Genomic DNA, 26,144 nt, shown 5'->3' with positions numbered 1-26,144 from the left:
ATTCTCCTTCATTTGCTACCTTTTTAAAAACCCAAATCTCCCAATTATTTTTACTTCTTCCTCTTCTTTTTTAAAAGTAGCAACTACATTATATTATTCTTTTTTTTTTCTTGAGACGGAGTCTTGCACTGTCACCCAGGTTGGAGTGCAGTGGTGTGATCTCTGCTCACTGCAATCTCCACCTCCCAGGTTGAAGCCGTCCTCCTGCCTCGGCCTCTCAAGTAGCTGGGATTACAAGTATGTGCCACCACACCTGGCTAATTTTTGTATTTTTAGTAGAGACGGGGTTTCACCATGTTGGCCAGGCTGGTCTCGAACTCCTGACCTCAAGTGATCTGTCTTGGCTTCCCAAAGTCCTGGGATTACAGGCATGAGCCACTGCACCTGAGACCCCATCTCTAAAAAAAGTTTTTTAAAAGTAGTCAGATGGCCGGGCATGGGCTCACGCCTGTAATCCCAGCACTTTGGGAGGCTGAGATGGGTGGATCACAAGGTCAGGAGATCGAGACCATCCTGGCTAACACAGTGAAACCCTGTCTCTACTAAAAATACAAAAAATTAGCCAGGCGTGGTGGCGGGCGCCTGTATTCGTAGCTACTGGGGAGGCTGAGGCAGGAGAATGGTGTGAACCTGGGAGGCGGAGCTTGCAGTGAGCCGAGATCGCCCCACTGCACTCCAGCCTGGGCGACAGAGCGAGACTCCGCCTCAAAAAAAAAAAAAAGTAGTCAGACATGGTGGTACATGCCTGTGGTCCCAGCTACTTGGGAGGCTAAGGTGGGAGGATAGTGCATGCCCAGGAGTTCGAGGCTGCAGTGAGCTGTGATCATGCCACTTCACTCAGCCTGAGCAGCAGAGTGAGACCCTGTCTATAAAAGAAAAAATATTTTTAAAAAATTTTAAAAGATTTTGTTGTTTGATAATCATGCCTCATTCCATTTTACTAGCTTCACCACTAGACTTGTGTTGTTCTGTTTATTTTGCCTCCCCATTCTTGTCATCATTATACTATTTCTGTGTTAACTGTTAGAAAGCCGGACTTCATGGATCCTACATGTTTTTGCCTGTCCCTTTCCATGTCAGCCAGTCTGAATACATTATGGTATAAATTGCTTCTACATTTACTGAAATATTTTTGGAAAATAGTAACTTTATATTCCAGAGTTATACTTCTTATTAAGTGAGTGATTTTATTTTTTTGAGAGGGAGTCTTGCTCTGTCACCCAGGCTGAAGTGCAATGGCGCCATCTCAGCTCACTGCAACCTCCACCTCCCAGGTTCAAGCTATTCTCCTGCCTCAGCCTCCCCAGTAGCTGGGATTACAGGCGTGCGCCACCATACCCAGCTAATTTTTGTACTTTTAGTCGAGATGGGGTTTCACCATGTTGGTCAGGTTGGTCTCAAACTCCTGACCTTAGGTGATCCACCCGCCTCAGCCTCCCAAAGTGCTGGGATTACAGATGTGAGCCACCACGCCCAGCCGTAAGTGAATGAATTTTTATACTTCAGTAGGAAACTTGAAATGATTGCATTCATTTAGTGAAATGGGTAAATATTTTTATAATCAAAGGCTCTGGTGGTAGAACTCAACAAATCAGTTTTTTGTTTGTTTGTTTGTTTGTTGTTGTTTTGTAGAGATGAGTTCTCACGGTGTTGCCCAGGCTGGTCTGAAACTCCTTGGACTCAAGCAGTCCTCCCGCCTCCACCTCCCAAAGTGCTGGGATTACAGGTGTGAGCCACCTTTCCCAGCTACAAATCATACTTTTTAAAAACAGCTTTATTGAGGTACAATAGACATACAATAAGCTGAACATATTTAAAGTGTATAATTTGATAAGTTTTCACATTTGAATACACCCATAAAACCATCATCACAGCCAAGATAGTGAACATATTCATCACCCCCAAAATTTCCTTATGCCCATTTGCACTCCTGTCTCCCCCAAACAACCAGTATAGATGTTTTCCGTCACTATAGTTTGTATTTTCTAGAGTTTTATGTAAGTGGAATCATACAGTATATACTCTTTCTGTTTTTTGGGGGATGGGAGTCTGACTTCTTTGACTCAGCATTATGATTTTGAGATTCATTCAGGTTGTTGCCTGTATCAGCAGATCATTTCTTTTTATTGGTAAGTAGTATTTTGTTATATGGGTATAACACATTTTTTACCCACTTACCTGTTGATAGACATTTGGATTGTTTCTAGTTTTTGGCTATTACAGATAAAGCTGCTGTGAACACTCATGTACTAGTCCTTGGATGGATATATATTTCCTTTTTTCTTGGGTAAATACCTAGGAGTGGTATGAGGGGGATGTCTGGGTCATATGGTGGGTGAATGTTTAACTTTTTAAGAGATTGCCAAACTGTTCCAAAGTGGTTGTACTATTTTGTTTTCTATAAGTATTGTATGAAAGTTCCAGCTGTTCCATGTCCCAACTAACATTTTGTATGGTCAGCCTTTTTAATGTCAGCCATTCTAATAGGTACTGTATTGGTACTTTATTGAGATTTTAATTTACATTTTGCTAATGACCTTTGATGCTGAGCATCTTTTCATGTGCTTATTAGCCTTCTCTGTATCTTCTTGGTAAAGTGCTCAAACCTTTTGCTTATTATGTAACTTCCTATGGTTGTGCCTTGAGAGTTCTCTATAATGTTCTTTTTGTTTGTTTTGGTTTTGGTTTGATTTGGTTTTTGAGACAGAGTCTCACTCTGTTGCGCAGGCTGGAATACAGTGGCACTATCTTGGCTCACCGCAACCTCCACCTCCCGGGTTCAAGTGATTCTCCTGCCTCAGCCTCCCGAGTAGCTAGGATTACAGACACCCGCCAGCATGCCTGGCTAATTTTTGTATTTTTAGTAGAGATGGGGTTTCGCCATGTTGGCCAGGCTGCTCTTGGACTCTTGACCTTAAGCGATCCACCCACCTTGGGCTCCCAAAGTGCTGGGATTACAGGCGTGAGCCACTGAGCCCAGCCAGAGCTCTCCATATGTTCTTGATACTAGTTCTTTTTCAGATACATGCATTGCAAAGATCCCCCCACCCCTAGTTTATGACTTTTTTTTTTTCATTTTTTAAAGTGTCTTTTGAAAAGCAGTTTTTAATTTTGATTTAGTTCTACTTATGAATTTGTTCTTTTAAGTGTTGTGTTCTTACCCAAGGTCACAAAGACCTATGTTTTCTTCTATTATTTTTATTTTATTTTATTTTTGAGACAGACTCTTGCTCTGTCACCCAGGCTGGAGTGCAATGGTGCAATCTCAGCTCACTGCAACCGGGTTCAAGCAATTCTCCTGCCTCAACCTCCCCAGTAGCTGGGATTACAGGCGTGCACCACCACGCCTGGCTAATTTTTGTATTTTTAGAAGAGATGGGGTTTCACCATATTGGCCAGGCTGGTCTCCAACTCCTGACCTCAAGTGATCCATCTGCCTCAGCCTCTCAAAGTGCTGGGATTACAGGCGTTAGCCAACGCGCTCAGCCTCTTCTAGCAGTTTTACAGTTCTAGGTTTTGCATTTAGGTTTATAACTATTTGGAATTAGTTTTAATGTGTATGTGAAGTATGGATTTAAGGATTTTTTGTTTTTTGCATATGAATATCCAATTGTCCCAGCACCATTTGTTGAAAGGTTATTATTATTATTTCCAAAAATCAGTTGCATTGGCTTTGTTGTACCTTTGTCAGAATTCAGTTGTCCATATATATATGTGGGTTTATTTTTACACTTCCTATTCTGTGCCAATGGTGTATATGTCTATCTTTATGCCAGTACCACATTGCTTGATTACTGTAGCTTTATTGTTGAAACTGAGTGGTGTTAGCCCTCCAGTTTGTGTCCTTTTTAAAGGCTGTTTTGCTTACTTAATTACTTTACATTTCCATACAAATTCTAAAATCAGCTTACGAATTTCTACACAAATTCCTGCTGGGATTTTGAGTGGGATTGCATTGAATTTATAGATAAATTTGAGGGAGAACTGAATAATTTCAAGTCTTCTGAACCATGAACAAAGTATATGTATGTTTGTTTTCCATTTATGTATGTTTTCTTTCTCTCAGCAATGTTTTGTAATTATCAACATGTCTTTCATATCTTCTGTCAGATTTATCTCTAAGCGTATCATATTTTTGATGTTGCAAATGATATTTTTTTAAAATTTAAATTTACAATTTTTCAAAAATTTAGTTCAAAATAGTAGTACGGTCCATATAGTTTTTATATATTGATCTTGTATCCTACAATCTTGCTATACTCATTTATTCTAGTAGCCTTTTTTGAAGACTCCATCAGATTTTTTACATAGAAGACTATGCCATCTGTGAATAAAGACTGTTTTACTTCTTCTTTCCAATCTGGATGACCTTTATTTATTTTTCTTTGATTGCGCTGGCTAGAATCCCCAATGCAATGTTGAATAGCATTGGTAAGAGCAGACATACTCATTTTTTAAAAAATTTTCTTTTTTAAAACCTTTTTTTTTTTGGAGAGGGGATTCTGCCATGTTGCTGAGGGTGCTCTCAAACTCCTGGGCTCAAATGATCCTCCTGCCTCAGCCTCCTGAGTAGTTGGGATTACAGACATGTACCACTTTGTCCGGCTCTTTGTTTCTGATCTTAAAAGCATTAAATTTTTCTTTCTGTTTTCTTGAGATGGAGTCCTGCTCTGTCACCCAGGCTGGAGTGCAGTGGCACGATCTCAGCTCACTGCAACCTCCATCTCCCAGGTTCAAGTGATTCTCCTGCCTCAGCCTCCCGAGTAGCTGGGATTACAGGCGCCCGCCACTGCGCCCAGCTAATTTTTGTATTTTCAGTTGAAATGGGGTTTTACCATCTTGGCCAGGCTGGTCTCAAACTCCTGACCTCGTGATCCATCTGCCTCAGCCTCCCAAAGTGCTGGGATTACAGGCGTGAGCCACCATGCCCGGCCTCAATTTTTCATCACTAATTATGATACTAGCTGTAGGTTTTTTATAGATGTTCTTTTTTTTATTTTTTATTTGATTTATTTATTTATTTTTTGAGACAGAGTCTTGCTCTGTTGCCCGGGCTGGAGTGCAGTGGTGTGATCTTGGCTCACTGCAACCTCTGCCTCCCGGGTTTAAGCAACTGTCCTGCCTCAGCCTCCTGAGTAGCTAGGACTACAGGCCCACCACCACGCCCAGCTAATTTTTGTATTTTAGTAGAGACGGAGTTTCACCATGTTTGCTAGGATGGTCTCCATCTCCTGACCTCATGATCCACCTACCTTGGCTTCCAAAGTGCTGGGATTACAGGCGTGAGCCACCGCACCCAGCAAAAGTAACGATGGTTAGATGCCACGAAGTAGGTGGCAATGCCTTAACCATATGCATGTTGTCAGGCCTGAGGGCCTCTTCCAACCTTGCCAAGGGAAGTGCTAACCTTCTCTCCTTTCATACAACATGTAGATATTCTTTATCAAGTTGATGAAGTCCCTTTCTGTTTCTAGTTTGCCTGAGAGGTGTTTTTTTGTTGTTGTTTTGTTTTGTTTTGTTTTGTTTTTGAGATGGAGTCTTGCTCTGTCACCCAGGCTGGAGTGCAGTGGCACGATCTCGGCTCACTGCAACCTCCGCCTCCTGGGTTCACACCATTCTCCTGCCTCAGCCTCCCGAGTAGCTGGGACTACAGGCACCCGCCACCACACCCGGCTAATTTTTTGTATTTTTAGTAAAGACGGGGTTTCACCGTGTTAGCCAGATGGTCTCAATCTCTTGACCTCATGATCCGCCCACCTTGGCCTCTCAAAGTGCTGGGATTACAGGCGTGAGCCACTGCACCCGGCCTGCCTGAGAGTTTTTATCAATAATGGGCTACATATAAAGTATTTGACAAATGTATTTAATTTGTTAAATGTATTTATCAAATTATTTAATTCGTTAAATGTATTTAACAAGTGTGTATATTAATATACATTTAACAAATATATTGACAAACACATTTGTTGGCCAGGTGGAGTGGCTTACACCTGTAATCCCAGCACTTTGGGAGGCTGAGGCAAGCAGATCACTTGAGCCCAGGAGTTTGAGACTAGCCTGGGCAACATGGTGAAACCCTGTCTCTACTAAAAATACAAAATTAGCCAGATGTGGTGGTGCACGCCTGTAATCCCAGCTACTCAGGAGGCTGAGGCAGGAGAATCGCTTGAACCCAGGAGGAGGAGGTTGCAGTGAGCTGAGATCGCGCCATTGCACTCCAGCCTGGGCAACGAGCGAAACTCCATCTCAAAAAAAAAAAAAAAAAAAACACAAAAGCAAACTAAAATTAAGCAGATCATGGTGGTTCATGCCTGTAGTCCCAGCTACTTGGGAGACTGAGATGGGAGGATTGATTGAGCCTGGGAGGTTGAGGCTGCAGTGAGCCATCACCGTACCATGCACTCAAGCCTGGGCAACAGAGTGAGACCCTGTCTCAAAAAACAAACAAACAAACAAAAAAGATCTACCATAAAACAAATGCATTTGTATCTGCATCTATTGAGATGACTGTATAGCCTTTTAAATTTGTAAATATGATTGATTTATGTTAAACCTGTTATTAACCTCATTTATCAAATCAATAGAATTTCTTTAAGATTCAGAGAGGATATGTGCAAGTTTGTTACATGGATATATTGTGTGATGCTGAGATTTGGGCTTCTAAGGATCCCATCGCTGAAGTAGTGGACATAGTACCTTATAAGTATTTTTTCAACTGTTGCCTCCCTCCCTTCCTCCTCACTTTTGGAATCTCCAGTGTTTATTGTTCCCATCTTTGTGTCTGTGTGTACCCAGTGTTTAGTTCCCACTTATAGGTTAGAACTTGCAGTATTTGGTTTTCTGTTTCTGCATTAATTTGCTAAGGATAATGGCCTCCAGCTGCATCCACTTTGTTGCGAAGGACTCGATTTTGTTCTTTTTTATGGGTATATAGTATTCCTTGGTGTATATGTACCACATTTTCTTTATCCAATCCACTATGGTTTTTTTGTTTTTTTTTTTTAAGGCAGAGTCTCACTCACTCTGTTGCCCAGGCTAGAGTGTGGTGGCACAATATCTCAGCTCACTGCAGCCTTGACCTCCCAGGCTCAAGGGGTCCCCCGACCTCAGCCTTCCTGGTAGCTGGGACCACAGGTGTGTGCCACTACACTTGGCTAATTTAAAAAAAATTTCTTTGTAGAGATGAGCTTTCACAGTGTTGCCCAGGCTGGCCTCAAACTCTTGGGCCCAAGTGATCCTCCCACCTCGGCCTCCCAAAGTGCTGGAATTACAGGTGTGAGCCACCGAGCCTGGCCCTATCCACTCTTGATGGGCACCTGGGTGGATTCCATGTCTTTGCTATTGTGAATAGTGCTGCAATAAACACATGAGTGCAGGTATTTTTTTGGTAGAATGATTTATTTTCCTTTGGGTATATACCCTGTAATGGGATTGCTAGGTCAAATGATAGTTCTATTTTTACTACTTTTTATTAGACAGGATCTTGCTTTGTCACCCAGGCTGGAGTGCAGTGGCTTGATCATAGCTCACTGCATCCTTGACCTCCCGGGCTTAAGCAATCCTCTAGCCTCAGCCTGTAAGTAACTGGGACTACAGGCTTGTGTCACTACACCTGGCTAATTTTTAAATTTTTGGTAGAGATGAGGTCTCACTGTGTTGCCCAGGCTGGTCTCGAACTCCTGAGCTCAAATGATCCTCCCGCTTCAGCCTCCCAAAGAGCAAGGATCGCAGACATGAGTCACTGTGCCTGGCCTAGAATATTTTTTATGATCTTTGCTAAATTTTTTTTGAATTTTTACATCTATGTTCATGAGACATACTGGTTTGTCATTTTCTTGTTTTGTTTTGTTTTGAGATGGAGTCTCGCTCTGTCACCCAGGCTGGAGTGCAGTGATGTGATCTTGACTCACTGCAACCTCCGCTTCCCGGGTTCAAGCAATTCTCCTGCCTTAGCCTCTTGAGTAGCTGGGACTACAGGCATGCACCACCATGCCTAGCTAATTTTTTGTATTTTAGTAGAGATGGAGTTTCACCGTGTTGCCCAGGCTGGTCTTGAACTCCTGAGCTCAGGCAATCCACCTGCCTTGGCCTCCGAAAGTGCTAGGATTACAGGCATGAGCCACCACACCCAGCTGGTTTGTCATTTTTTTGGTAATGTCTTTGTCTGCTTTTGGTATCAGGCTTCACAGAATGAGTTGGAAGTTTGTGTCAAATTGGTATTATGTCTTCCTTAAAAGTCTGGTAGAATTTAGCAGTTAAGCTATTTGGACGTAGAATTTTCTATGGGATGGTGTTTAACTACATTTTTAACTTTTAAAATAGATACAAGGCTATTAAGGTAGTCTGTTTCTTCTCCTTCTCCTCTTCCTCTTCCTCCTCCTCTTCCTCCTTCTTTCTTCTTCCTTCTTTCTCCTCCTCCTACTCTTCATCTTCCTTCTCTTCCTCCTGCTCCTCCCTCCGCCTCTTCCGCCTCTTCTTCTTCTCCTTCTCCTCCTCCCCCCTGCCTCCTCCTCCTCCTCCTCCTTTTCTTCTTCTTCCTTCTTCTTTTTTCTTTGAGACAAGGTGTCACTTTGTAGCCCAGGCTACTACAGTGGTGCAATCATGTCTCACTGCAGCCTCTCTCTGCTGGGCTCAAGTGATTCTGCCACATCAGCCTCCTGAGTAGCTGGGAGTACAGCTGTACACCACCATACCTGGCTAATTTTTTGCATTTTTTGTAGAGATGAGGTTTTGCCATGTTGCCCAGGCTGCTCTCCAACTACTGGGCTCAAGTGATCCTCTTGCCTTGGCTTCTCAAAGTGCTAGGATTACAGGCATGAGCAGCACGCCTGGCCTGTTTATTTAAAGTGAGCTTTGGCAGTTTGTCTTTCAAGAAATTTGTCCATTTCATCTAAGTTGTCAAATTTATGGACATGAAATTATTCCCTCATTATCCTTTTAATATCTGGAGACCCTGTAGTGATGTAACCTCTCATTCCTGATATTAGAGGCTTATCCATTTTACTGATCTCAAATAACCACGTTTTGGTTATATTTATTGTATTTATTGATTTTCTGTATTTTTTTTTTCTTGAGATAGAGTCTCGCTCTGGCATCCAGACTGGGGTACAGTAGCATGATCTTGGGTCACTGCAACCTCCGTCTCCTGGGTTCAAGCAATTCTCCTGCCTCAGCCTCCTGGGTTGCCAGGATTACAGGAGCACACCACCATGCCCAGCTAACCTTTAAGTTTTTAGTAGAGACGAGGTTTCACCATGTTGGCCAGGCTGGTCTCAAACTCCTGACCTCAAATGATCCACCCGCCTCGGCCTCCCAAGGTGCTGGCTCACGCCTGGCCTATATTTTTCTTTCAATTTCACAGACTTCTGCTTTAGTCTTTCTTTTGTTTACTTTGGTTTTAATTTTCTCTCTCTTTTTTTAGTTACTCAAGGTAGAAGTTGAAGTTGTTGACATGAGACCATCTTCTTTTCTAATATAAGCTTTTAGTGCTATAAACTTCCCCCTAAGTACTGGTTTAGTGTCATCGCACAAATTATAGTATATTCTATATTTATTTTCATTCAATTCAAAATACCTTATAATTTCTTTTTCCATGTGTACATATTGTTCAGCTCCTACTTATAAGTGAGCTCATTAGTATTAACTTTCTGTTTGAGTTATTTCATTTAAGATAAGGGCTTCCAGTTCTTTTTCCTAGCACTTTGGGAGGCCGAGGGGGGCGAGCTGTCTGAGCTCAGGAGTTTGAGACCAGCCTGGACAACACGGTGAAACCCCGTCTCTACTAAAATACAAAAAATTAGCCAGGTGCAGTGGCGGGTGCCTGTGGTCCCAGGATTACAGGCGGAGCCACTGCCCAGCCATAAAAAAAACTTTTTTTTTTTTTGAGACACAGTCCCACTTTGTTACCCAGGCTAGAATGCAGTGGCACGATCTCGGCTCACTCCAACATCTGCCGCCCGGATTCAAGCGATTCTCCTGCCTCAGCCTCCCAAGTAGCTGGTATTACAAGCGCCTGCCACCACGCCCGACTAATTTTTGTATTTTTCGTAGAGACGGGTTTTCATCATCTTGGTCAGGCTGGTCTTGAACTCCTGACCTTTGTGTTTTTAGAAAAAAATGATTACACCCGCCTCGGCCTCCCTCTGCTAAAAAATACCAAAAAATTTAGCCGGGCGTGTTGGCAGGCGCCTGTAAGTCTCAGCTACTCGGGAGGCTGAGGCGGGAGAATGGCGTGAACCCAGGAGGTGGAGCTTGCAGTGAGCCGAGATCGCGCCACTGCACTCCAGTCTGGGCAACAGAGCAAGACTCCTCTCAAAAAAAAAAAAAAAAAACAAAAAACAAAAAAAAAAAAACGGATTACAGGCGTGAGCCACCGTGTCCGGCAGGTGTCTTTTTTATATAATGACTTCTTGATCCAGGAGTTATTTAGAAGAGTGTTACTTTCCAAATACTTGGAGATATCCCCTTCAAAATTTTTTTTCTAAAAACACAAACTAAAGCAGCAGATTTTCCAAATATCTTTTTGTTATTGACTTCTAATTTAATTTCAGTGTGGTCTGTGAACATACTTTGTATGACTTGAATCCTTTCCGATTTAAGATTTGTTTTATGGCCCAGAATATAGTTTATCTTGGTAAATGTTCTGGGTACACACTTGAGAACAAAAATGTGTATTTTGCTGTTGTTGGGTGGAGTGTTTTATAAATGTCAGTTAGGTCAAGTTGGCTGATAGTATTGTTCATGTCAGATTTTCTGCCTGTTTGTTGTATATATAAGAGAGGGCTATTGAAATCTCTTGACTATAATAATTGTGGATTCATGTATTCTTTATTCTAAAATCTACTTTATCTGATATTAGTAGAATTATCCTGGCTTTCTTTTGACTAGTGTTAGTTAGCAGGGTATATCTTTTCCATACTTACACTCTTAACCTATTTGTGTCTTCATATTTCTTTTTTTTTTTTTTTTTTTTTTTGAGATGGAGTCTCGCTCTGTCATCCAGGCTGGAGTGCAGTGGTGTGACCTCGGCTCACTGCAAGCTCCACCTCCCAGGTTCACGCCATTCTCCTGCCTCAGCCTCCCAAGTAGCTGGGACTACAGGTGCCTGCCACCATGCCCGGCTAATTTTTTTGTATTTTTAGTAGAGACGGGGTTTCACCGTGTTAGCCAGGATGGTCTCAATCTCCTGACCTCGTGATCCGCCCTCCTCGGCCTCCAAAAGTGCTGGGATTACAGGCGTGAGCCACAGGTGCCCAGCCTATGTCTTTATATTTTAAGTTTTTTAGTCCAGGCATGGTGGCTCACACCTGTAATCCCAGCACTTTGGGAGGCTGAGGTGGACAGATCACAAGGTCAGGAGTTCCAGACCAGCCTGACCAAGATGGTGAAACCCTGTCTCTACGAAAAATACAAAAATTACCCAGGTGCGGTGGCAGGCGCTTGTAATCGCAGCTACTTGGGAGGCTGAGGCAGGAGAATCACCTGAACCCGGGCAGCAGAGGTTGCAGTGAGCCGAGATCGTGCCACTGCACTCTAGCCTGGGTGACAGAGTAAGATTGTCTCAAAAAAAAAAAAAAAAGTTGTTTTTTTTTTTTTATGGCCAGGCAGTGGCTCACGCCTGTAATCCTAGCACTTTGGGAGGCCGAGGCAGGCAAATTGCCTGAGCTCAGGAGTTTGAGACCAGCCTGGGTAACATGGTGAAACCCCATCTCTACTAAAATACAAAAAATTAGCCAGACGCGGTCGCAGGCGCCTGTAGTCCCAGCTACTTGGGAGGCTGAGGCAGGAAAATCGCTTGAACCCGGGAGGTGGAGGCTGCAGTGAGCCGAGATCATGCCACTGGACTCCAGCCTGGGTAACAGAGCGAGACTCCGTCACCAAAAAAAGAAAAAGGTTTTTGTATGTAGCGTATAGTTCATTCTTGCTTTTTTACTCAATGTTTGCCTTTTTAATTGGTATGTTTATTTCATTTCATTAACGTAATTATAGAGTTAGGATACAGTCTATTATCTTGCTATTTGTTTTCTGTTTGTCTTATCTGGTCTTTGTTCTCTTTCCTTTTTTTCCTGGGTTCTTTCAAATTAATAGAATTTTTTTTTTTTTTTTTGAGGTGGACTCTCACTCTGTCACCAGGCTGAAGTGCAGTGGCATAATATCAGCTCACTGCAACCTCCACTTCCCCGGTTCAAGTGATTCTCTTGCCTCAGCCTCCTGAGTAACTGGGACTACAGGCGTGCACCACCACACCCAACTAATTTTTGTATTTTTAGTAGACACGGGGTTTCACCATGTTGGTCAGGATGGTCTCAATCTCCTGGCTTTGTGATCCGCCCGCCTCGGCCTCCAAAAGTGTTGGGATTACAGGCATGAGCCACCATAATGGAATATTTTTAATGGTTTCACTTTATCTCTTTTGAGTGATTATTAAGTATATGTTCTTTTATTATTTTAGTGGTTACTTTAAGGTATATACATCTTTTTTTATTATTATACTTTAAGTTCTAGGGTACATGTGTACAATGTGCAGGTTGGTTACATATGTATACATGTGCCATGTTGGTGTGCTGCACCAATTAACTTGTCATTTACATTAGGTATATCTCCTAATGCTATCCCTCCCCCCTCCCCCCACCCCACAACAGGCCCTGGTGTGTGATGTTCCCCTTCCTGTGTCCAAATGTTCTCATTGTTCAATTCCCACCTATGAGTGAGAACATACGATGTTTGGTTTTTTGTCCTTGTGATAGTTTGCTGAGAATGATGGTTTCCAGCTTCATCCATGCCCCTATAAAGGACGTGAACTCACCCTTTTTTATGGCTGCATAGTATTCCATGGTGTATATGTGCCACATTTTCTTAATCCAGTCTCTCATTGATGGACATTTGGGTTGGTTCCAAGTCTTTGCTATTGTGAATAGTGCCGCGATAAACATACGTGGGCATGCTATAACATCTTTATAGCAGCATGATTTATAATCCTTTGGGTATATACCCAGTAATGGGATGGCTGGGTCAAATGGTATTTCTAGTTTTAGATCCTTGACAAAGCGCCACACTATCTTCCACAATGGTTGAACTAGTTTACAGTCCCACCAACAGTGTAAAAGTGTTCCTATTTCTCCACATCCTCTCTAGCACCTGTTGTTTCCTGACGTTTTAATGATTGCCATTCTAACTGGTGTGAGATGGTATCTCATTGTGGTTTTGATTTGCATTTCTTTGATGGCCAGTGATGATGAGCATTTTTTCATGTGTCTGTTGTCTGCATAAATGTCTTCTTTTGAGAAGTGTCTGTTCATATCCTTCTCCCACTTTTTGATGGGGTTGTTTGTTTTTTTCCTGTTAAGTTTGTTTAAGTTCTTTGTAGATTCTAGATATTAGCCCTTTGTCAGATGAGTAGATTGCAAAAATTTTCTCCCATTCTGTAGGTTGCCTGTTCACTCAGATGGTAGTTTCTTTTGCTGTGCAGAAGCTCTTTAGTTTAATTAGATCCCATTTGTCAATTTTGGCTTTTGTTGCCATTGCTTTTGGTGTTTTAGACATGAAGTCCTTGCCCATGCCTATGTCCTGAATGGTATTGCCTAGGTTTTCTTCTAGGGTTTTTATGGTTTTAGGTCTAACATTTAAATCTTTAATCCATCTTGACTTAATTTTTGTATAAGGTGTAAGGAAGGGATCCAGTTTCAGCTTTCTACGTATGGCTAGCCAGTTTTCCCAGCACCATTTATTAAATAGGGAATCCTTTCTCCATTTCTTGTTTTTGTCAGGTTTGTCAAAGATCAGATGGTTGTAGATGTGTATTATTTCTGAGGGCTCTGTTCTGTTCCATTGGTCTATATCTCTGTTTTGGTACCAGTACCATGCTGTTTTGGTTACTGTAGCCTTGTAATATAGTTTGAAGTCATGTAGCGTGATGCCTCCAGCTTTGTTCTTTTGGCTTAGGATTGTCTTGGCAATGCGGGCTCTTTTTGGGTTCCATATGAACTTTAAGGTAGTTTTTTCCAGTTCTGTGAAGAAAGTCATTGGTAGCTTGATGGGGATGGCATTGAATCTATAAATTACCTTGGGCAGTATGGCCATTTTCACGATATTGATTCTTCCTATCCATAAGCATGGAATGTTCTTCCATTTGTTTGTGTCCTCCTTTATTTCCTCGAGCAGTGGTTTGTAGTTCTCTTTGAAGAGGTCCCTCACATCCCTTGTAAGTTGGATTCCTAGGTATTTTATTCTCTTTGAAGCAATTGTGAATGGGAGTTCACTCATGATTTGGCTCTCTGTTTGTCTGTTATTGGTGTATAAGAATGTTTGTGATTTTTGCATATTGATTTTGTATCCTGAGACTTTGCTGAAGTTGCCTATCAGGTTAAGGAGATTTTGGGCGGAGATGATGGGGTTTTCTAAATATACAGTCATGTCATCTGCAAACAGGGACAATTTGACTTCCTCTTTTCCTAATTGAATACCCTTTATTTATTTCTCCTGCCTGATTGCCCTGGCCAGAACTTCCAACACTATGTTGAATAGGAGCGGTGAGAGAGGGCATCCCCGTCTTGTGCCAGTTTTCAAAGGGAATGCTTCCAGTTTTTGCCCATTCAGGATGATATTGGCTGTGGGTTTGTCATAAATAGCTCTGATTATTTTGAGATACGTCCCATCAATACCTAATTTATTAAGAGTTTTTAGCATGAAGCGTTGTTGAATTTTGTTAAAGGCCTTTTCTGCATCTATTGAGATAATCATGTGGTTTTTCTCTTTGGTTCTGTTTATATGCTGGATTACGTTTACTGATTTGCGTATGTTGAACCAGCCTTGCATCCCAGGGATGAAGCCTACTTGATTATGATGGATAAGCTTTTTGGTGTGCTGCTGGATTTGGTTTGCCAGTATTTTATTGAGAATTTTTGCATTGATGTTTATCAGGGATATTGGTCTAAAATTCTCTTTTTTTGTTGTGTCTCTGCCAGCCTTTGGTATCAGGATGATGCTGGCCTCATAAAATGAGTTATGGAGGATTCCCTCTTTTTCTGTTGATTGGAATAGTTTCAGAAGGAATGGTACCAGCTCCTCCCTGTACCTCTGGTAGAATTCGGCTGTGAATCTCTCTGGTCCTGGACTTTTTTTGGTTGGTAGGCTATTAATTATTGCCTCAATTTCAGAGCCTGTTATTGGTCTATTCAGGGATTCGACTTCTTCCTGGTTTAGTCTTGGGAGGGTGTATGTGTCCAGGAATGTATCCATTTCTTCTAGATTTTCTAGTTTATTTTCATAAAGGTGTTTATAGTATTCTCTGATGGTAGTTTGTATTTCTGTGGGATTGGTGGTGATATCCCCCTTATCATTTTTTATTGCGTCTATTTGATTCTTCTCTCTCTTCTTATTAGTCTTGCTTGCAGTCTATCAATTTTGTTGATCTTTTCAAAAAAACAGCTCCTGGATTCATTGATTTTTTTGAAGGATTTTTTTGTGTCTGTATCTCCTTCAGTTCTGCTCTGATCTTAGTTATTTCTTGCCTTCTGTTAGCTTTTCAATGTGTTTGCTCTTGCTTCTCTAGTTCTGTCAATTGTGATGTTAGGGTGTCAATTTTAGACCTTTCCTGCTTTCTCTTGTGGGCATTTAGTGCTACAAATTTCCCTCTACACACTGCTTTAAATGTGTCCCAGAGATTCTGGTATGTTGTGTCTTTGTTCTCATTGGTTTCAAAGAACATCTTTATTTCTGCCTTCATTTTGCTATGTACCCAGTAGTCATTCAGGAGCAGGTTGTTCAGTTTCCATGTAGTTGAGCGGTTTTGAGTGAGTTTCTTAATCCTGCGTTCTAGTTTGATTGCACTGTTGTCTGACAGACAGTTTGTTATAATTTCTGTTCTTTTACATTTGCTGAGGAGTGCTTTACTTCCAACTATGTGATCAATTTTGGAATAAGTGTGATGTGCTGAGAAGAATGTATATTTTGTTAATTTGGGGTGGACAGTTCTGTAGATGTCTATTAGGTCCACTTGGTGCAGAGCTGAGTTCAATTCCTGGATATCCTTGTTAACTTCCTGTCTCATTGATCTGTCTAATGTTGACAGTGGGGTGTTAAAGGCTCCCGTTATTATTATGTGGGAGTCTAAGTCTCTTTCTAGGTCTCTAAGGACTTGCTTTATGAATCTGGGTGCTCCTGTATTGGGTGCATATATATTTAGGATAGTTAGCTCTTCTTGTTGAATTGATCCCTTTACCATTATGTAATGGCCTTCTTTGTCTCTTTTGATCTTTGTTGGTTTAAAGTCTGTTTTATCAGAGACTAGGATTGCAACCCCTGCCTTTTTTTGTTTTCCATTTGCTTGGCAGATCTTCCTCCATGCCTTTATTTTGAGCCTATGTGTGTCTCTGCACATGAGATGGGTCTCCTGAATACAGCACACTGATGGGTCTTGACTCTTTATCCAACTTGCCAGTCTGTGTCTTTTAATTGGAGCATTTAGCCCATTTACATTTAAGGTTAATATTGTTATGTGTGAATTTGATCCTGTCATTATGATGTTAGCTGGTTATTTTGCTCATTACTTGATGCAGTTTCTTCCTAGCATCAATGGTCTTTACAATTTGGCATGTTTTTGCAGTGGCTGGTACTGCTTGTTCCTTTCCATGTTTAGTGCTTCCTTCAGGAGCTCTTGTAGGGCAGGCCTGGTGGTGACAAAATCTCTCAGCATTTGCTTGTCTGTAAAGGATTTTATTTCTCCTTTGCTTATGAAGCTTAGTTTGGCTGCATATGAAATTCTGGGTTGAAAATTCTTTTCTTTGAGAATGTTGAATATTGGCCCCCACTCTCTTCTGGCTTGTAGAGTTTCTGCCGAGAGCTCAGCTGTTAGTCTGATGGGCTTCCCTTTGTGAGTAACCCGACCTTTCTCTCTGGCTGCCCTTAATATTTTTTCCTTCATTTCAACTTTGGTGAATCTGACAATTATGTGTCTTGGAGTTGCTCTTCTTGAGGAGTATCTTTGTGGCGTTCTGTGTATTTCCTGAATTTGAATGTTGGCCTGCCTTGCTAGGTTGGGGAAGTTCTCCTGGATAATATCCTTTAGAGTGTTTTCCAACGTGGCTCCATTCCATTCTCCCCATCACTTTCAGGTACACCAATCAGACGTAGATTTGGTCTTTTCACATAGTCCCATATTTCTTCGAGGCTTTGTCATTTATTTTTACTCTTTTCTCTAAACTTCTTGATTCATTTCATTCATGTGATCTTCCATTACTGATACCCTTTCTTCCAGTTGATCGAATCGGCTACTGAAGCTTGTGCATTCGTCACATAGTTCTTGTGCTGTGGTTTTCAGCTCCATCAGGTCACTTAAGGACTTCTCTACACTGGTTATTCTAGTTAGCCATTCATCTAATCTTTTTTCAAGGTTTTTTACTTCTTTGCGTGGGTTTGAACTTCCTCCTTTAGCTTGGAGAAGTTTGATCGTCTGAAGCCTTCTTCTCCCAACTCATCAAAGTCATTCTCCATCCAGCTTTGTTCTGTTGCTGGTGAGGAGCTGCGTTCCTTCGGAGGGGGAGACGCGCTCTGATTTTTAGAATTTTCAGCTTTTCTGCTGTGTTTTTCCCCATCTTTGTGGTTTTATCTACCTTTGGTCTTTGATGATGGTGATGTACAGGTGGGGTTTTGGTGCAAATGTCCTGTTTGTTAGTTTTCCTTCTAACAGTCAGGACCCTCAGCTGCAGGTCTGTTGGAGTTTGCTGGAGGTCCACTCCAGACCCTGTTTGCCTAGGTATCAGCAGCGGAGGCTGCAGAACCATGAATATTGCTAAACAGCAAATGTTGCTGCCTGATTGTTCCTCTGGAAGCTTCGTCTCAGAGGGGTACCCGGCTGTGTGGGGTGTCAGTCTGCCCCTACTGGGGGATGCCTCCGAGTTAGGCTACTCGGGGGTCAGGGACCCACTTGAGTAGGCAGTCTGTCCGTTCTCAGATCTCAGACTCCATGCTGGGAGAACCACTACTCTCTTCAAAGCTCAGTTGGAAATGCAGAACTCACCTGTCTTCTGTGTCACTCACACTGGGAGCTGTAGACTGGAGCTGTTCCTATTCGGCCATCTTGGAACTGCCCCGCTATTATATACATCTTTAATTTACTAGTCTACCTTCAGTGATATTATACCACTTTGTGTATAGAATAGGAACCTTACAATAATGTTTCCATTTTTTTCTTCCAGTCTTTATATTATAGTTCATAAATTTTGCTTTTATGTTATAAATCTCACAGTATGTTATTTTTGTTTAAACAGTTATCTGTTTTTAAAAAAAGTTTTAAATTAAAAAGTTTACATATACACTATTATACTTAATCTTTTCCCATGCTATTTCGTTGGATAGATCCATATGGTGTCATTTTTCTTTTGCCTGAAAAACTGCCTTTAACATTTCTGGTAGTATAGGTTTACTGTCAAGGAATTCTTTCAACTTTTGCATGTCTGAAAGCATCTTTATTTTTCCTTCTTTTTATAAGATATTTTTGCTGGACATAGATTTCTAGGCTGACCTTTTTTACTTTCCCTATTTTAAGATGTTACTCCACTTCTTGTCTGCAATGTTTCCAGTGAGAAATACGATGTCACCCTTATCTTTGTTCCTATATGGTTCCTAAGTCTCTTTTTCTCTGACTGCTTTTAAGATTTCCTCTTTATCACTGGTTTCAACTTATTTGATAGCAATACACTTTGATATAATTTTCTCCATGTTTCTTGTGCTTGGACTTAGTAAAGCATCTATACGTGTGGTTTAACCAAATTTGGGAAAATGTGGGTCATTGGTCATTATTTCTTAACATATTTTTTTCTGTCCCTCTTCCCTTCTTTTAGGGACTTCAGTTACCCATGTATTAGGCTACTTGAGGCTATTTCACAGCTCACTAATGCTCTTCATTTTTCCTTTTTGACTCTTTTCTGTTTCATTTTGAATAGTTCCTATTTCTATGAGTTTAAGTTTATTAATCTTTTCTTCTGTGTAGTTTAATCTACTGTTAATTCCATCTAGTGTACTTTTCATCTCAGACATTGTTTTTATTTCTAGATGCTCAAGTCTTTTAAAAATATCTTACATGTCTTTACTTATTTAAAATAACATCTCTGTCAGTTCTGTGTTGGTTTCAATTGATCAATTACTCTCATGATGGTCATGTATTCCTTCCTCTTTGCATGCCCAATAATTTTGTATTAGATGCCAGAATTTTACCTTGTTTGATATTGTGTATTTTCGTTTTACTTTAAATCCTTGTGCGGTTTGTTCTAGGATGTAGTTAAATGACTGGGAAATAATTTGATCTTTTCAGGTTTTTTATAATTTTTTAGGTAGGTCCAGAGTAGTACTCAATTTAGAATTAATTATTCTTCATCAGTGAGGCAAGACCTTTTTGAGTACTCTACCCACTGTCCCACAGGTTATGAGTTTTTTTCAATCTGGCTGATTGATAGAACCAGGCATTGTTCCCAACCAACCCTGGACAATGTTTCCTCTAACCTTATCTGTTGATTTTCCCCTTGGTTTTGGGTAGTTTGCTCAGATTCATGTGCTAATAATTACTCTGCTGAATATTCTAAGGAAACTTCTGCAGCTCTCTCTCTTTCTGTGCTGCTCTCTCCTCTCTGGAATTCTGTCCTAAGGTTTGGTTTTCCTAGACTCTCGGCTCAAAGACTCCACCAGGCTTACTCTGTTCCGTTTCTGTGCTGCAACTTGGACACATTCCCAAGGCAATAAACTGGGACAATCTCCCAGCTCCCTGCATTTGTGCCTTCTCTTTTAGGAATCATTGTCCTTTGATGCCTGGTATCCAGTGTCTTCAAAAACCATTATTTCATATTTGCTGCCTAGTTTGTTTCTTTTTATTTTAGGTGAGTGGGTAAATCTGGTTTTTGTTACTTGGTCTTGGCTAGAAGTGAGAGTCCCAGCAATTTAGTTAGTTATTTTGTTTTAAAAGATGGAGTCTTGGCTGGCATGGTGGCTCACACCTTTAATCACAATACTTCGGGAGGCTGAGGTGGGAGGATTGCTTGAAGCCAGGGGTTCAAGACCAGCCTAGGCAACAAAGCAAGACCCCATCTCTAAAAAAATTTTAAAAATTAGCCAGGCATGGGGGCACATGCTTATAGTCCAAGCTGCTCAGGAGACTAAGGGAAGAGGATCACTTGAGCCCAAGAGCTAGAGGTTGCAGTGAGCCACGATCATACCACTGCATTCCAGCCTGGGTAACAGAGTGAGACTCTGTCCCACCCACCCCCCCCAAAAAAAAAAAAAAAAGAAAGAAAAAGAAAGACATGAGAGGAGGTCTTGCTTTGTTGTCCAGGCTAGACTCTAACTCCTAGGCTCCAATGAGCCTCCTAAGTAGCTGGGACTACAAGTGTGGGCCACCATGCCCAGCTTTTAGCATTCCAGTTTTAACAAACCTCAGGCTTAAGTTTGAGAATTCTGTTAAAATTTGAGAACCATATAGATACATGAATTTAACATTAGGTGATTATTTTGTTAACACTATCAACCACCATTTACCATGAAGACAGTATTACATGAATCAGTAAATCTAATTTTTAGAGAAAAAAAATTTGTAGATTAATTCTCTCGTTTCTATGTTTTGTAGCTTAGAAGATATTTAAGTAACTGTGATACATTAAAAAAAATTTCTGCTGGGTGTGGTGGCTCATGCCTGTATCCCAGCACTTTGGGAGGCCAAGGTGGGTGGATCACAAGGTCAGGAGTTCAAGAACAGCCTGGCCAATAAGGTGAAACCCTGTCTCTACTAAAAATACAAAAATTAGCCAGGCGTGGTGGCAGGCGCCTGTAATCTCAGCTACTTGGGAGGCTGAGGCAGAGAACTGCTTGAACTTGGGAGGCAGAGGCTGCAGTAAGCTGAGGTCGTGCCACTGCATTCTAGCCTGGGCAACAGAGTGAGACTCCATCTCAAAAAAAAAAAAAAAATTCTGGGCTGGGTGCAGTGGCTCACGCCTGTAATCCCAGCACTTTGGGAGGCTGAGATGGGTGGATCACCTGAGGTCAGGAGTTTGAGACCAGCCTGACCAACATGGAGAAAACCCATCTCTACTAAAAATACAAAATTAGCTGGGTAGGGTGGTGCATGCCTGTAATCCCAGCTACCTGGGAGGCTGAGGCAGGAGAATCACTTGAAACTGGGAGGCGGGGGTGGTGGTGAGCTGAGATCGCGCCATTGCACTCCAGCCTGGGCAATAAGAGCGAAACTTCATCTCAAAAAAAAAAAAAAAAAATTTCTGGCCGGCCATGGTGGCTCATGCTTATAATCCCAGCACAGATCACTTGAGGCCAGGAGTTCAAGACCAGCCTAGCCAACATGTGAAACCCTGTCTCTACTAAAAATACAAAAATTAGCCAGGCGTGGTGGCTCATGCCTGTAGTCCCAGCTACTCTTGAGGCTGAGGCACAAGAATCACTTGAACCTGGGAGGGAGAGGTTGTAGTGAGCCAAAGTCATGCCACTGCACTCCAGCCTGGTGACAGAACAAGACTCTGTCTTAAAAAAAATAAATAAATAAAAAATAAACATGAAAATATTTGTACAGTCAGGAAGGATGGAGATTTGGGCAAGGGGAGGGAGATTTTGTGAAATAACCTTATTAATGTTGCAGTGGTACCTGGTAAATAGTCTTGGATATTTAGCTTTAAGCTACCTAATTTCTTTAACTTTGAAACCCCTTTTTTTTTTTGAGACGGAGTCTCGCTGTGTTGCCCAGGCTAGAGTGCAGTGGCACGATCTTGGCTCACTGCAACCTCCGCCTCCCGGGTTCAAGCAATTCTCCTGCCTCAGCCTGCTGAGTAGTTGGGATTACAGGCGCCCGCCACCATGCCTGGCTAATTTTTGTATTTTTAGTAGAGACGGGGTTTCACCATGTTGGCCAGGTTGGTCTCAAACTCCCACCTTGGCCTCCCAAAGTGCTGGGATTACAGGCATGAGCCACTGCACCTGGCCTAACTGGGAAACTTTTATAAATGCTAAATGGTAGGCCGGACGTGGTGGCTCACGCCTGTAATCTCAGCCCTCTGGGAGACCGAGGCGGGTGGATTACCTGAGGTCAGGAGTTGGAGACCAGCCTGGCCAACATGGTGAAACACCGTCTCTACTAAAACTACAAAAACTAGCCAGGCGTAGTGGCGCACGCCTGTAGTCCCAGCTACTCGGGAGGCTGAGGCAGGAGAATCGCTTGAACCCAGGAGACGGAGGGTGCAGTGAGCCAAGATCGTGCCACTGCATTCCAGCCTGGGCAGCAGAGCGAGACTCTGGCTCAAAAAACAAAAAAAGAGGAGACAATAAAGGGCACTGAGAGTAAGGGAAGGTTTTTAACTTCATGGCAGAGAGCTTGAGTTGTTGAGAGGTAATAGGGTGGGCCAAACGATCCAAACACTCAGAATTCACATACCAATCCCCTTCTGGAAGGGAAAGTGGGTGGACAAGACTCTCTGTAGAAGCACAGATATTCTTGTACTGTGCAGATAAATAAGTGTTTAGAGAATGTGAACTTTAAACAAGAGCAGTGGTGAATTACAGTCAGATGAGATCAAAGTAGAGTTTACAAAGGTTAGGAGGAAATGGCAAAAATTATACTGTCATGTAATGAATAAGGGGACTACAACAGAATTGAATCAGTCTCGCAGAGAACAAGGTGAGTGGCATGGATTAAACTGTTGAGAGGATTAAATGGGATAATGCACATTAAGTACAATGGCATATTGTAAGTGCTCAGTAACCACTTATTGCTATTAAATAGTACCGCTATTTATAGAATATATCTGCTCAAATGTTTTAAAAAATTCAAAGGCAGGCCATGCATGGTGGCTCACACCTGTAATCCCAGCACTCTGGGAGGCCGAGGTGGGCAGATCACTTGAGGTCAGGCATTCAAGACCAGCCTGGTCAACACAGTGAAACCCCATCTCTACTAAAAATACAAAAAAAAAAAAAAATTAGCCGGGTGTGGTGGTGTGCACCTGTAGTCCCAGCTACTTGGGCAGCTGAGGCAGGAGAATCACCTGAACCCAGGAGGCAGAGATTGCAGTGAGCTGAGATAGCGCCACTGCACTCCAGCCTGGGTGACACAGCGAGACTGTCTCAAAAAAAAAAAAAAAAAAAAAGAAGGAAAGAAAAAAGGAAGAGATATGGTTTCCTTAATAAGCTTGCATTCTAATGAGACATAACAATCAGCAAAAATAATTATAGTTGTACCTGGGTATTTGGGGAGATTGGTTCCAGGATCCCCGTGATACCAAAATCTGCAGATGCTCAAGGCCCTTACAGTTGCCATTCTGCATCTGCAGGTTCCACATCTGCTATTGGCTGAATCTGTGGGTTTGAAACCTGAAGATACAGGGGGTCTGCTGTCTGTACATTATTAAACCCAAGGGACTGGAATGTAAATTCCATATACATATTTGTGACTAAAAAGATCTCACTAAGAAAAATAGTCAGAGGCTGGGCGCGGTGGCTCACACCTGTAATCCCAGCATTTTGGGAGGCCGAGGTGGGTGGACCACCTAGGTCAGGAGTTCGAGACCAGCCTGGCCAACATGGTGAAACCCCCTCTCTGCTAAAAATACAAAAATTAGCCGGGCGCAGTGGCATGTGCCTGTAATTCCAGCTACCCCGGAGGCTGATACAGGAGAATCGCTGGAACCCAGGAGGCAGAGGCTACAGTGAGCCAAGATCGCCCCACTGCACTCCAGCCTAGGTGACAGAGCAAAAAAAAATAAAATAAAATAACCAGAGATGAGGAAAACATACTACCTAGTGTAGTATGTTATGAGTACATGCTTTTGAGCCTGGGCAACTTTATACAACACTGTGTTCAAAAGCGATGATTAAATGAAGTACATGGCTTAGCAAGTGATCAATAAACTATAGCAATTTTTCTTGTAGGGCTCAATTTCCTCATTTTTAAAAATAAGAAAGATTCTCTTCTGGGTTTGTATTGATGAAAGGTGAATAGAAAAATATTTTATTTTTAAAATATTTTTTAAAATAGAAATGGCATCTCACTATATTGCCAAGGCTGGTCTGGAACTTCTGGGCTCAAGTGAGTCTCCCATCTTGGCCTCCCAACATGCTGGGATTACAGGTGTGAGCCACCATGCCTGACCTAGAAAAATAAAATAAAATAAAAATAAATTTGGGGTCTGGGCACGGTGGCTCACACCTCTACTACCAACACTTTGGGAGGCCAAGGCGAGTAGATCGCCTGAGCTCAGCAGCTGGATACCAGCTTGGGCAACATGCTGGTCTCTACAAAACGCCAACTCTACCAAAAATACATAAAATAGCTGGGCATGGTGGAATATGTCTGTGGTCCCAGCTACTTGGGAGGCTGAGGCAGGAGGAAAAAGGGAGGGGAGGGGAAGGGAGAGGAGGGAAAAGGGAAGGGAAAAGGGAACAGAAGGGGGAAGGGAGGGGAAAAGGGAAAGGAAAGGAAGGGGAGGGAAGGATGAAGGAAAGAAAAGAAAGAGAAAGAAAGAAAAGAAAGGAAAGAAAGAAAAAGAAAAGAGAAAAGAAAAGAATTTGGCCGGGAACAGTGGCTCAGGCCCATAATCCCAGTACTTTGGGAGGCCAAGGCAGACAGATTGGTTGAGCTCAGGAGTTTGAGACCAGCCTTGGCAACATAGCAAAACCCTGTCTCTACAAAAAATAACACTACTTAGCCAATGTGGTGGTGTACCTGTAGTCCCAGCTACTTTGGGGGCTGAGGTGGGAGGATCACTTGATCCCAGGAGGTTGAGTAAGCCGAGATGATGCCACTGTACTTCAGCTTGGGTGACAAAGTGAGACCCTGTCTCAAATAAATAAATAAATAAATGTAAGAAGGTAGTATAGTGTAGTGGTTAAGAGTGTTAATGGCTGGGTGCACTGGCTCACACCTGTAATCCCAACACTTTGGAGGCTGAGGTGGAAGGATTGCTTGGGCCCAGGAGTTCCAGACAGGCCTGGGCAACATAGCCAGAATCCACTTATTTATTAAAAAAAAAAAAAAAAAAAGAGTGTAAATACCAGTTAATACCAGAAGAAATGGGTTCTTATAGCTGTTCCACTGCTTTTAGCTGTGTGACCTTGGGCAGAATATTTAATCTCTCTGACCCTGATTATTTTTATCTGTACAATAGAGATATTACAGTCTGCCATTAACATCCTGTTTTGTAATTTACATTAGCCACTTGATGTGTAGTGTATTCTTACTGAAAAATCTGTTTTGACAACTTTTGTTTTGGTTCAGGTTTTGGAGGCTAGAGATGGAGAACAGAATTCTTTCGATTTATTTTGCATAACTAAACAGAAAACATGGATTAAGATTTGGAATAAGTTACAGGGAGGAGGGCTCATACGGTTTGTCTTTTGAATTTAAGAAGACCCTAAGAATTAGTTGAAGATTGTTTTAAGGAATTCTACTATATAAAACTAAAAACAGACATAAGGCCTAAAGTGTGAAAGGAAAATAAATCTTGGGGCCTCCACCTCACTAAGCTAAAGAGAAAAGTCAAGCTGGGAACTGCTTAGGGCCAACCTGCCTCCCATTCTTTAAAAAGTCACCCCTCTGCTCACTGAGATAAACGCATATCTGACTGCCTCCTTTGGAGAGGCTAATCAGAAACTCAAAGGAATGCAACCATTTGTCTCTTATCTATCTATGCCCTGGAAGCTCCCTCCCCACTCAGAGTCTTCCTGCCTTTGCTTTGAGTTGTCCAGTCTTTCCAGAATGAACCAATGTTCATCTTACATATATTGATTGATGTCTCATTTCTCCCTAGAATGTATAAAACCAAACCGTGCTCTGATCACCTTGGGCACATGTCTACAAGACCTCCTGAGGCTATGTCATGGACGCGTGTCCTCAACTTTGGCAAAATTAACTTTCTAAATTAACTGAGGCCTGTCTCATATTTTGGGGGTTCACAAAAGGATACAAGAAGGTCTTGTCACTTAGCAAGCTTCCAAAATGCAATTTTGAGTTATTCAACTGCTAAGCAACTCTTTACATGTATCTCCAATGCAAAGGAGGGTACTTCTGAGTAAAGAAGTTTTTGGGGTTTTTTTGTTGTTGTTGTTTGTTTTTTTAAGACAGTCTCGCTCTGTCGCCCAGGCTGGAGTGCAGGGGCGCGATC

General features: G+C 42.0%; 1 protein-coding gene, 1 long non-coding RNA gene and 1 pseudogene across 3 annotated transcripts in view; all 3 read right to left on the bottom strand.

Annotated features, from left to right (window-relative positions):
- Window positions 1-26,144, bottom strand: part of PDE12 (phosphodiesterase 12) — a 100,222-nt gene that overhangs the window by 31,620 nt on the left and 42,458 nt on the right. The gene's annotated exons all lie outside the window — the stretch shown is intronic.
- RNU6ATAC26P (RNA, U6atac small nuclear 26, pseudogene) lies at window positions 5,308-5,428 on the bottom strand (annotated as a pseudogene).
- Window positions 23,960-26,144, bottom strand: part of ARF4-AS1 (ARF4 antisense RNA 1) — a 3,128-nt gene continuing 943 nt past the window's right edge. The window contains exons 2-3 of one of the 2 annotated variants that reach the window (NR_132369.1): window positions 24,707-24,817; window positions 23,960-24,133 (exon numbers count right to left, since the gene is read on the bottom strand). This is a non-coding gene — a long non-coding RNA (ARF4 antisense RNA 1). The remainder of the gene's footprint in view (window positions 24,134-24,706; window positions 24,818-26,144) is intronic. The other variant, NR_132370.1, reaches the window with a different exon arrangement.

This window comes from Homo sapiens, chromosome 3 (assembly GCF_000001405.40).
Source record: "Homo sapiens chromosome 3, GRCh38.p14 Primary Assembly".
Taxonomy (NCBI): Eukaryota; Metazoa; Chordata; class Mammalia; order Primates; family Hominidae; genus Homo; species Homo sapiens.
Note: the sequence above shows the minus strand (reverse complement) of the source record. Positions and strands in the feature narration are given on the sequence as shown.